At 33.9% G+C, this 13,402-nt stretch overlaps 1 protein-coding gene across 6 annotated transcripts in view; it reads left to right on the top strand.

The window, feature by feature from the left end:
- The window catches only part of DCN (decorin), a 42,334-nt gene continuing 31,807 nt past the window's right edge, over positions 2,876-13,402 (top strand). For 4 of the 6 annotated variants that reach the window (NM_133507.3, NM_133505.3, NM_133504.3 and 1 more), the window contains exon 1: positions 7,047-7,351. In NM_133507.3, coding sequence (NP_598014.1) covers positions 7,141-7,351 — 211 coding nt within the window. In that variant the 5' untranslated portion in view covers positions 7,047-7,140. Of the gene's footprint in view, positions 3,039-6,213; positions 6,332-7,046; positions 7,352-13,402 lie in introns of those variants that run through there. The other 2 variants (NM_001920.5, NM_133503.4) reach the window with 2 other exon arrangements.

Genomic DNA, 13,402 nt, shown 5'->3' with positions numbered 1-13,402 from the left:
TCTAAGCTCTGGCATTCTTCATATCCTTAATGGGCAGGTACAATTAAATACTTTGTATGTGATGTCAATGAGAGAGAATGGCCCTGAAATGAACTTCGACAATGTGCAGAATACAGTTAACCCTGTTAGCTAGTGGGTTGTCAGTAGAAATCAAAGTTTAAGTAGTTTAACAGTAGATGTGGGATGTGCTCTGAATTGGAATATTTCACATATCTATATGTCAGCCAGGGATTCAGGGAATCCTACCCCAAACATTCCAAGCCAGAATGACTTTAAGCAATCTGTGCACAGTGCTGTTTCTAGTCTTAAAATGGTTCCATTTCATGTTGGATTGCAAGAGACCTGGTTTCTGGTCATAGTGTCATGACCTCTTGGTGACTTAACTGCGTATGACTTTGTTGGGACATAGTTTCTTCTACTGAAAAATGAGTATGACGATAGATGTAACTTGTGATTAAAGATGCAGCTTTTAAATATGATGATGTTTGGTAAAATGCTTGAGATTTTGGAGGTGAGTTTCTTTCCAAACAACAACAACAAAAAGAAAATTTTTATTTGTTCCTGAACAAATTAAATAAAGTTTTAAAAGCATTGCAACTTGGTCATGGTTTGTAAAATAGTCTGAAAAGATGTTATCTCAAAACTTTGATAATTACTTTTCTATATGTAAGAATTTGCTTCCTCTTTCTTAAGATACATTATAGTTTAGTATAGTTTAGTAATGAAAAGTGGATTAGGCATGAGAAGACCTGGATATTAGTTTCTGCTTTGTTTCTTGCCAGCTCTGTGAACTTGGGCAAGTCACTGGGCTTCAATTTTCTCATTTGTAAAACAGAAATAGTAAATATGACTTATCTTGTCTAACTCAAAGGATTGTTTTGAAATATGTCAAGACATAATAAAAGCTTGCATTTACAGAGATTTTCACTTATAAGGATTAAGTTCTGAGTTAAGTGTTTTATATATATTGCCTTATTTAATCTCCACTCCAACACTATGAGTTAGGTAAGAATTTGTATCCATTTTTCAGATATGGAAACTGAAATTCAGAGAGGTTAAGCAAGTTGCCTGAGTTCATATAGCTTACTATCGGGGGGAAGGAACAAGATCTAAATCTTAACCATAATGGTTCTGCTTTTATAAAAGTAAAATTATCTACATAAAAAGGCATTATGTCTTTTTTTCTCCTCCTCCTCATTTTTCTTCTTCTACTTTTTCTTTAATACTTCCTTTTCTCTCTCTCTGTCTTGTAATGATGGCCATAATTTGTCATATACACTTTAGTAGGGTTAAGTTTTGATAAACAGTAAGCCAGGATTGGGGCAAAACACCAGTCCGGGTACGGTCCATAGCCAATCATTTGATTGTCTTTACTAATTTAGCAAATGTATCTTGGTAACTTAGTATATACCATGGCTATTCTGGGTGCAGGGATTCTACAAACATGAACACAATGTCATTCCTCCCTTGGAGTAAGACACGTACATAAATAATTATAATATGAGGCAGGAGTGATTATATGTCATCAAAAAGAGATAAATGCCATATAAGGAGAGTTCAGAAAGGAAATTAATAAATTCCAAGTAAAGGGGATCATGGACTTTTGCACCAATGTCCAGGGACAATAGTGCTTGCCTTTGTCTAAACTATCAGAATAACTAGATATGTGGTTATTAAATGTTAAGGAGATGCAGAGTAGGGTAAATTGTTTATCTGAGAGGCTGGGCTTAGGAAATAAGGCAAACTATAACGTGGTAACACGCCTCCCCCTCCTTAGATACCACTTGAGAATTTAATTTCTCTAAGTTTTTTTGAGGAAAAAGAATATTTACTGTGGAAGAATATACTTTGATGGCTGGAGGAGGGAAGGAAGGAGGCTGGAGGATGGGAGGGGGATCATCTCATGTTTCAAACTGTTGATTTCCAGTTTCCACCTGGTAACAGCCTAGGGGCCAGAGCATAATGATACAAGTCAAAACACAGAGACCTACACAGAGACAACTAACAGCATCCAGCAAGGGAATTATAAAAGCTCAAAAAAGATTTCCAGTGGCTAAATAAATACCTTTCCTTGTAGTTGCACTTGTTTTTCTTTTCATTTACTGAAATTTGGAAAGACACATAGACTCTATTGCCTTTTCAAAGTTCTAGTTTACATAAAAGTATAATCTATGAAAATCAAATTTTTCATATATAGAGGATGAAACTATGTTGTGATCAACTACAGGTTATCTATGTATTTTATTTAAAAACTGGTGGACAGGGAGAAAGATTTTAAACTATGATTAATGAAAGTGATAGATGACATACTTTTCATATAAAACCATGACTTTCTTTCAGGACACTTTAGAAATATGTCCAAAATATACAGAAAAACTCCACAGCATAGTGCTTGAATTTACACAAACATTCCAAGGCAAGTAGGAATCCGAATGAGTAGTTTCACATAAGGCTACTCATTTATTTTTGCAGTCCACATTTAAAACAACTACAAGATTAATTTCATTCCATTTTTCTGGACTTACACATCCCAAAAGCAAGAAAAAAATGTCATTTTGGAAGTATAATAAATGCTACTTGTAAACAAGGCTAGAAAGGGTGGAGAATGAAATGAGATGGGGGGTGGGGAAACAAACCCTTTAGTTACAATATCTTAGGGAAATGAATCTACAATAAGACAAATTTCAAATCAAGTTGCTCCACTATACTGCATAAGCAGTTTAGAATCTTAAGCAGATGCAAAAAGAATAAAGCAAATGGGAGGAAAAAAAAGGCCGATAAAGTTTCTGGCTACAATACAAGAGACATATCATTACCATATGATCTAATGTGGGTGTCAGCCGGATTGTGTTCATTGAGGGAAACCTTATTTTTTAACTGTGCTATGGAGTAGAAGCAGGAGGTTTTCAACCTAGTCACAGAGCAGCACCTACCCCCTCCTCCTTTCCACACCTGCAAACTCTTTTACTTGGGCTGAATATTTAGTGTAATTACATCTCAGCTTTGAGGGCTCCTGTGGCAAATTCCCGGATTAAAAGGTATGGTTTTCAATAATTGTCCTGAACTCTGCTACAGACTAATAAAACTTCGGTCAAGTTGCGAGCAAAAGGGATTATTTGGTGAGAAAAAGAAAAGGAAAAAAAAAACTGTTAAACTTTTATAGTTTTTATGCAACATTTTAAACAAGTATTATTTGAAAACAGAAGTTAAATATTTGATAAAATGATTGAATGCATTGTTTTATTTCTTTCTCTTCTGTTTTTGCAAAGATGCTTCTTAAAAAACTGTAACCTAACACCATGACTCTCTATATTAATGTTTTTGTGTTTGTATTAATGAATGTTTAGCTCTTCAAGAGATGGTAACCGAAAAGTATTCTGAAGTAGCATATCTGTAATTGACCTATATATTTAAAAAATGTATTTTTCTCCTGAATTTTTGATTGCTTTAAGGACTTTTAAAAGCCCAGAAGAACTGAACTCTGGTGATTAGCTGAAAATACCTAATGTATATTTCTTCAACCCCAGAAATGAACAGAAATTATCACCAGAGAAGTGAAAATAAACATTGAAAATATTTATGTTATTAAATGCCTAAGATACTAAAAACGCTGTATAATTTCTTAAATGTAAAGTGTCCCAGTCAGTATCTTCACTGCAAGTGAAATTTTAAGATACATTCACTATAAAATGAGGATGTGGGTTAATTTTCTAATTTTAAAACAGGGTAACACAGTGACCACTGATTAAGTGGGCTCCCAGTGATGTAAATACCTGTGGCTTTTTTTTTTCCTGTTGCTGTTTCTAACCAGAAAAGAGCCAAATGCCTCCTATAGTAACCCTTGTTTGTGGATAAATGCCGCCTTTATTCTTTATTTTAAAATTACATATATTATAATTGAAGTTTTTAATCATCTAGTGCTGTAGGATTTTAATTTTGTTTTGCATTTATAGCTTCACTTATCTCTTGAGGGTTAAATTTTGACTTTGAAAGTGACACCAGAGGCATAGATAACATAATGCAAATGTTGATCTGGATGACATACTTCATTTAATGGGCTTAACTAGTTTTAGGAACCAGAAATTATTATTTTTGGTAAAACATTTGTAAACTATGGCAACTAGCTTCAGTGGAGTAGTGATATTACATTAGTAATTAGCATCTTGGACATTGTCATGCATTTTTAGACTACTTAAAACAGTTTCAGTATAATTTAAACAGCATATCATCTCAATAACAATCTCTTTGGTTACTACTTGGACAGCTGCTCTTTGCTCTTTATATTTCTGATTAATTAAGGAAAGAAGGAAATGACGAAAGGAATTATCAGTATTGACAGCCCACATTAAATGTTTTAAGATGCTGGGTCTTGAAGTACCATGACACTAATTTAAAACAGATGATTTTATGGAAGATTTTGCACAAAGTTTCTGGACATGCAATTATTTTTTCACAGTACAGTCAGGGTTAAATGCACACACACACATACACTCTCTCTCTGTCACACACACATGAACACACACACATACATTCTCTCTCTCTCACACACACACACACACGAGCAAATGAAAATGAAATAAAGGTCGGTGATTGAAGTTATAAGCTGCCTGTCTATATTCAGCTTCAATCAAAAAGAATATTGTTTGGAGAATTTGTACCATTTTAACAGGAGTAAACAAACATAAATTATAATACTATTTCTCTCAGCTAATACTCAACATTTTCTTTTTGTGGGTTGTTAGTGAAACAACCAGGCATGTTCTGCTCTGGAGAAAAGATTTCAAAGTGACATCTGCATTAACTGTCGTTGCTATTTATTAAATCTGCAATGACTTTGCTTCATTTTTCTTTTAAACTTGTAAGACATTAAATATGCAAGGCTAGCAAGCTTGTGGTAAACCATAAACATTGCATTTTTAATGGGAAACAGATACAAAACCACTCCCTCAGATACAATCCAAAGGAACAGGCTGCCAAAACAAAAGTCTTCTCTTAAAGGGATACTCAGTAACTGAATGAGAGTGGGCTGCTAGAAGAAGCTTAATGTTGAACTTAAAGTGGCAGTGTGAATAATAATCTTTATGATATTTTGTTAAATGAAAAGCCACAAGCCTGTATTCAACATGTGCTGCCTTAGACACATATCAGTAGTAAATATAAACTAAGAACAAACATGTAAGAAACTGAAAAACATTTGTTTCTTCTCTAGAGAATCTAGGCAAAAATTCCCAGAAGATACCTTAAGGTTAGATCATACAAAGATCTTTCTTTTCTCTTCTCTTCTTTCTTTCTCTCTCTCTCTCTCTTTCTTTCACTTTCTTCCTTTCTTTCTTTTTCTCTTTCTTTCTTTCCTTTTCTTTCTTCCTTCTTTCTTTCTTTCTTCCTTCCTTCTTTCTTTCTTCTTTTTTTTAATATGCTACAATTGGATAATGACTCAAAACAGCTGTAAGATTCTACTTACGAACGTACAGCTTTAATATGGATTCGTCTAAGTGTACAATTCAAGGTAGAGATGATGGGACTAAATATCTGCTATGATGGGACTAAATATCTACTATGTTTTGGAGATATCAGAATGGTTTCAATGCAATTTAAAAAATATTTCATCTCCCAAATGACTTTGCTGCTATATAATCAAGTACTTTTGTTATTCAGATTTATTACGATTTTGTCACTCAGATTTATTTAGTGCACTTCAGTTGATTTAACAACATAGATTCGTGCTTGTGGAATGAATGGATAAATATGGAATACATTTATCAAAACAATACTTGTTTTTTTACAAAATGCCCTGTTAGCAAAATGAGATCATATATACATCACATAAAAATCAGAATTTTCCATATGTGTTTATTAGCTTATTAAACATAATGTTTGAGAAACTAGGAAATTGATTTATTTTTTAAAGCCGATCTTGCTTATACCAAGTTGAGGTTTTCAATCTGCTTTTTTTATATCAGAAATTCGATACTGAAAAAAAGCTAATTTTGTGTTTTAAAAAATCAGACTGATTGCTTGGAACAAATGGAATAAATCGTCTTGTCAATAAAGTGATGGTCAATTGAGTCATTTGTGTGCAAAATATTGTGCAAGGCCCGGGTACAGAACAAGGAATAATAAGACACGCCCTGAAGGAGTACATCGTCTAGTGAGGGACAGACCAAGCACGCAAAACAAATTGCAATATAATGTGATAAGTTCTTTAAAAGAGGTAAGAGCAACGTGCTTTGGGAGCAGAGAAGAGGGAGAAAGCAGCATCTTGCCTGGATGAGCCAGGGGACACAGAAGAGAAGCCCACTATCTCATTTAATCTTTACAACTCTCTTGCAAGGTCGGTATTCTACATGGCAAGTAGCTTTGATTGTCAGGGTTCAGGTGAGGACTGGGAATGGAGTGACAATGAAAAGGAATGTGGCTAGAGCTATTAATTCATACCAATTTATGAGTGGTCTGACATACAGCACAGGGACTGTGGACAGTATTGATAAGCCATAGGAAGTTAATAAATGGTTTATAGTAGAAATTAATAAGACAAAATTGAATTTTTAGACGATGACTCAGGCAGCAAAATGGAAGATGGACTGAAATAGAGGAAATATGCAAGGCAGAGATGAATTAGAAGCTCTTGTAGTAGTTTAGGGAGAGATGAGAAGGGCCTGGATCAAAATAATTGTGGTAGGATGGAGAGATGTGACTGGCTTCCAGAGATATTTCTGAAGCAGAAATTGGAGATCTCCTATGTGGATAGAGATAATTTTATCTGACCATGTGTTAAGTGAGCATTGAAAAGCCCAACATGATTTATTACCATGACAATTTTGCAAATGATTTGGATATATAGTATATCATCTTAGTTTAGACCCAAAATTCAAACAAGCAGATTTAAATAATACTCAGATTTCTCATCCTAAGTAAATAGCTGTGCAAATGATACTATAATGTACCTGATTGTCTTTCAATACATTTTTAATGCTCTGCTTCCTGATAACAAATGAAATATTATTTTGCATCTTTTCTCTGTGCTCACTGTATTGTGGCATATTATATAAGAAACGACACACAGATTAGGCAGTGCTACTCTTCTTAAATCTCTCATTTGTTTCCTAGGTTCCCTGGTTGTGAAAATACATGAGATAAATCATGAAGGCCACTATCATCCTCCTTCTGCTTGCACAAGTTTCCTGGGCTGGACCGTTTCAACAGAGAGGCTTATTTGACTTTATGCTAGAAGATGAGGCTTCTGGGATAGGCCCAGAAGTTCCTGATGACCGCGACTTCGAGCCCTCCCTAGGCCCAGTGTGCCCCTTCCGCTGTCAATGCCATCTTCGAGTGGTCCAGTGTTCTGATTTGGGTGAGTGGGATGCAGTTTCTCTTTACCTACCTTACTTGTTTTATTCTTGGGAATGGCAACTCTGAGAGTTTAGCATTTTCAGTTTTAATCTCTCTAAATTTGAGAGACAGTGCCACCTAATGAGGAGTAAAGGAAGCAGAACAGGATAGAAAGAAAAGTAGCGTTGTTGTTCTCTCTTTCTCTCTCTCTCTCCCTCTCTGTCCCTCTTCCTTTTTTCCTCCATTACTTTGCAATCTTGGACAAATCATTTTTAAAAATATTTCTGAGCTTTATATCCCTTCTTCTACAAAATAAAATTTTGAATTAAAAAAGTCTTATGTTCTAAAATTTCAGAGTAATGGTTTAATCTTAATTCTATAATATGCTTTTATAAAATATTAGATATTAAGAAAATCAGGTCAGTCTCTCTACTATTCACTTAGCCCAGACAACAGAGTTTCAACATTACTAAATTGTAAAATAATCAGTTATCAAAAGCAAAACACATCAAATTTTATGACAAAATCTTATCTTTCAAGTATCAAAATACTCCCTTAATCTCTGAGTCTTAGTTTTGTCTTTACTTTTGACATTTTGTAATCCAGCTGCTTATATTCTTTAGAAAGTTTCAAAGGAAATATTTATCACTAAGGTATGGTGTAAATATTCAATATAATTGTGTTACATATATCTTTAGCCTAACACCCTAAAGACAGTTTGATTTATCATCTTTTCAGAAAAATTTGGTCTGGAAATTCCAAGAGCATTACACTTAGAAGATAAATCTCCAGAAAGATTGAAGCTCAGTGGATGGGCCAAAGGGGAATGAACTCAGTTTACATGGCAGCTCATTCACATTCCTCCTTTTGAAGGGGTGTATTTTCTTACTGGAGATGAAAAGAAAAAAAAATCTTTATATCATGATTCCGCCATGTGTACTTCCTTCTGGAAGAAATTCCATACTATGATCAGGCACTTCTTTCAGAAGTCCTATATTTACTCAGAACATGCTTTCTAGCAGTAGTTTGCAGAAGAAAAATGCAACTTCTACAATTGGAATAAACTGCCTATAGGAACCCAGAAAAAATATAAAGTATATTCAGTAGTAACGACTGAAAAACACTTGAAATAGCTTCTTCAACACATATATTGTATAGCTATTTAAAACCCAAATACAAATGTTATATGAAGACTTTCAAAAGGCCGCAGGATAATTCCAATGGATCTATTTGTTCAGTCATTCAGAAGCTATATCGGGAACCCATCATGGATGAGCTCTGCTCTAGGCATGGGGAGAAAGGATGAGGAAGACAAATATGGCCCTAGTTCTTGTGGATCTTATGTTCTAGTGGTGGTGACTATTACTTTTTGAATTGTGTATTTGCCACAGGGGAGATTGGATTACTCTTCAGAAATTTTATAAGCATCTAGAGATGACCTGCATTATTGCCTTGGGCAGGAAAATAACAGGGTTGAAAAAAATCTGAACAAAGAAATCACCATTTGATGGATATACACAGGATAATCTTTTCTGAAGTTACTAAAATGGCGAAGTTCCCAAAAAATGTAATGCGAATTAAATTTCACTTTGCCTCTGAGAAAAAGTTAAAAGAATTTATTATTACTCTCGCTACATGTATTATCAAAAATGAAGGGTTGATATTTTTAAGGAAAGAAGAGTTGGCCAGTCACTTTAGTGAAGTTTTATTTTTTCGTAAATATAGTTTGCCTTTGCTTCCATGAAAAAATAGCTCATAAACCTTGACCCTGATGAAAGCACTGGGCCAGTTTTCCAATTCTCTGTTATGTAAAAAGGCATAAGTCAATTGTTCAAAGTGAAACAACAACAACAACAACAAAATGTAGTCTTAGGAAGCAGCAAGTTCACTGACTTGGGATCTTTATGACAGTTTTGTTGTTGCCATTGATATTGTTTTGTTTATTTTTTGTTTTCAGATGAGAAAGTTTTCTACATGTTATCTTTTTTCTAGGAGCTCAAAGTGTACATCATTCCTTTATTATAGCTAGGTTTACTGACTCATATACTAAGGAAGTAGCTAAAATTATAAAAATAATTTGTTTTTAAAACCATATTTAACTAAGGGAACTAAGTAAGTTCCAATGAGCAGTGGTCTCATGCAAGGTATTTTCAATATTTTAAAATTTACAGATGAATATTTAAATATATTATAAAAGTTTTAATCAGCTATCTCTAAGAAAATACATTTCTTAAAGGGAAATGAAATTCACTTGACTTTAAATAAAACAAATGAACTCATTTCATGTTTTTAACTATTATCTAACTCTTCCTTACTTTATGATGCTGGCAAGCTGTTGAGAGCCTTGACATCTCCATCTGCAGAAAAATCACAGTCTTAGAAATCCTATTAATCGTGTGAGGTACCTGGGTCATAGTAGCAGCTTCATGCAGTGTTAAAATTATATGATGATTATATGCAGTAACAGATGAAGAAAAAAAGAAAGAAAGCAGGAGAAATGCACCACCTCATTCATTGTAAATGCAGTATAGTTGATTTTTTAATTTGTTTTATGTCCTCTAGTGATCTAAGCATGAAGCTTGAATTATTATAATAAAGAAAATAAATGCAATGCAGTTGGGGATGGCAAATGTTAATGCTTATCTGTATCAAAGACTAACACTGTCTTCAGGATTATCCTTGGTGGATTATCCTTGGCAGACACTTAATGAGCAGAGAGAAGCTACAATGTTGAAGGACAAAAGTCCTTTGTCATCTTATTATCGAAATAATGTTTAATACAAATAAACTTTTTAAATTAAAATGTTTGACTACTTTTTACCACTAAGAAATATTCTTGGCAAAGTTAAACAACATCAAAATTTTAAACAATTCTTTCAAAGCTAAGAAGTAAAAACCTATGAAATTAAAATTATGTAATTACTCTGCAGGATAATTTGATGCCTCTGGAAAAATGCATGGACTGTTTTAGTCCCTAATTCTAATTTATCACAGTAGTATTAACACGTGCTTTTTTTTTTTTTTAAGAGGATGAGGGATTGAGACAGTAAACATGAATTCCTCATAGATATTGGCCAAGTTGTTTCATTGAACTTGTTGCAACTTACCTTGTAATTGGAACCACAATTTTATGAGACCCATATCTTGTCTTCTTTTATCTATCATGTTAAGAAATAAACCAGTTCCCTCTTAATTATAGCATTTATTTCAAAAAGCAATGTTAAAAATAAATGTAGAGTTAGCAAATTCAGAAGTCTTTCAGTTACTTTATAATAATAAATCCACAATGTAACTCATTCTTCTAAAAATCAAAAAAATTTAAAACGTTCTGATTTTGATGGGATTTTCTATTTTATATGCTTGGCATCCTGAAGAAGACAGCTTCCCTTACTTAGGTACTCTTTGGCTTAGCCATTCATCTTTGGATCAAGTGTCACCAGGTAGTATAATTTGGTATGGACTTAACACCTCATTACTGAAATGCAAATCAGTCCTGACAAGTCAAATAAGAACAAGTATTGTCTTTTGACTAGTCTCCAAAATTAAAATAATAATTCTTGATGTATTTCTTATAAACAAATTTCAGAAGAGTTAAAATGCCTCTTAAAACTATTTAATAGTGGAAAGAACTTGGGCTGTGCAGTTAAACACCTCTGATCTCAAATTCTGCTTTGCTGTTTACTACCTGTAACCTTGAAACTTTCAAAACTTTGTTTCCTCATTTGATAAATGGAAATATATCTTATTTCACTGGGTAAGAATAGAAAAATATATGCACAAATGTTTATTATAGTAACTTACATTTCACTTACCATTTCAGGCAAAGTTGGCTAAGAACATGAGGCTGTTTCTGATATTTCCTTTTATTTTTATGTATTAATGAGAATAATAGGTATAGGCCATATACTTATTAGAGACTCTCAATGACTTATACTTATTATTCTCAATTCATATTATATCATATTATACTCATTGAAAATAAGCCATATACTTATTAGAGACTTATTTAGAGTCTTATTAGAGACTTATTAAGAGTCTCTAATAAGTATATGGGTTGTCAAGCTAGACACAAAATAGTACCATCTCTCTCCACCTCTCTAAAGAGGACCACATCATCTCCAAATGTAAATAGACAAGAACAAAAAAAATTGTGCATTTACTAGGCAATTGAATGTTCTCCAAACCAATATTCCTTTGAACAAAATGAGTTTGTTTGATTTGAGAACAATGAAGTATTTGGCTATTTTATAATCATAAGTGATTCATACCCCCACACACTTAGCCCTCTAGAAATGGTGCCAGAAGATGAAACACATTTAATTTTGCCATATAGAAGCATTGCAAATAACTACTGGTTTCTAATAATGTACCTTATAATGCAAATAATGTTTTAATTTTTAAAAATATCAGAAAAAGTACAACCTTTTAAATTATGTAGTTGCTTCTTCTTCATAATCATTTTTCTTGAACTGGTGAAAAATTTTGTCAGAAGTTACCACTTGGGACATATTGTACTACAGCTTCTCGCTTGGCTGGAGAAACTGGTTTTCCAGAAGCAGACCTTATACAAGAGGTAAATGAACCATTAGACTTCTCCCATGAAATCAACCCAGAAAAATAAATTAGGACTATTTTGTAGAGGAACAGACAGAATGCTAGAGGCTCAGTTGCCTTTATCATTTATGTCTGGCTCTGCAGCAGCAGGGGTGTGAGGTGCTCCTCATTCAGAGTTTCGAATGCACCAAAAGGGTGTTTCCAAAACATGATATGGGAAGGAGGCTGTGCACAGAGTATGACCACTGGATTGCCTAAATTGACATTGGGTAGGAGTGGAGTATGGGTGATCTTCAGATGAAGCAAGAGTAATGCTCAATGTGACCTGGTTAAACAAGTCTCCTGAATCCAGGGGTTAAAGATGGAGAGGAGGAAGAGAGGGAGTCAAGAAGGTCAAAGGGAGCGTCTGTCTCCCTGACCTGAATGACAACTAACATAGCCCTTGTTTCCTTCTTGGTCCCCAGGAGGGAGAGAGAGGCAGCTGTGTGGGATCAAGGCATTTTGTGAGATTGCAGCTGTGATTCATTTTCCTTTGGAAGAACATCCCTAGCTCCAGGGGATATGGTGGGAATTGGTTAGCTAAAATATCAATTCCCTGGGTAAAAGAGGAAAACCATGAGACCCTCTAATCTTAACTTTTCTCCTTCAAAAGAGTGGAAAAAGATTACATAGTTCCTCAAAAATTAAAAAAAAAATGAGTCTGCAATTCAGTCTTAATAAAAAGAGAAAGCCCTTAGCATATATACTGTAACAGTAAAGACTCAGTTACTCTTGACTTAGTCTGTGGACTGCTTTAACTTCTGTAGCTTGCCTACTTCTGCCTTTTTTACTGTAATCTACATTTGCTTTGATTATTCTATAATAATCAATTATATATACATATCTGTGATTATACAATATCTTTTATCTTTTTATATATCTATTTTATTTTTTTTCACTAGAAAAGAAGTATTGCAATAATTTATCTTCGTACAACCTCTACACAACAAACTGCCTTATACTTTGTAGACTCTTTACACATCACTGAACGATTGATGAATGAATACACGAACATATGCATGGCTTGGTTCTTGAATTAATGCTTGGATGAATATTCTACAATATTCTTGACTCTAGCAAGCTGCAAAGAGAAGGGAACATGCCTGATTGAGAAACAAAAGTGATTTCTCAGTGCATCCTTGCTCCTTCCCTTTAAGGACAACTGTAAAACCAGGAAGCTTAGAAATTCCTTGAGTTTGACTGGAAAGAGAATAGAATTAAAGAGAAGAATCATCTATGTATGAAGCCTGGTCTAACTGATAACGCAGTCAGATTGCCATTTTTAAGATGGAAAAAGGGGAACATGCTTGCCTTGAGCAGAAAAGTTTTTGGTGGGGCTGGAGCTCCTAAATATTATTTTGGTCATTTGCCCAAAAACTGAAGTACACCACCAATGTCCCAATTATGAAGTTGAATACAGAATTATAAAAAAAAATTGTTGAAAGTCAATAAGAATAAATCTTAGAATTTGGACTCCTGC

Source organism: Homo sapiens, chromosome 12, assembly GCF_000001405.40.
Source record: "Homo sapiens chromosome 12, GRCh38.p14 Primary Assembly".
Taxonomy (NCBI): domain Eukaryota; kingdom Metazoa; phylum Chordata; class Mammalia; order Primates; family Hominidae; genus Homo; species Homo sapiens.
This window is presented reverse-complemented; position numbering and strand designations above follow the sequence as displayed.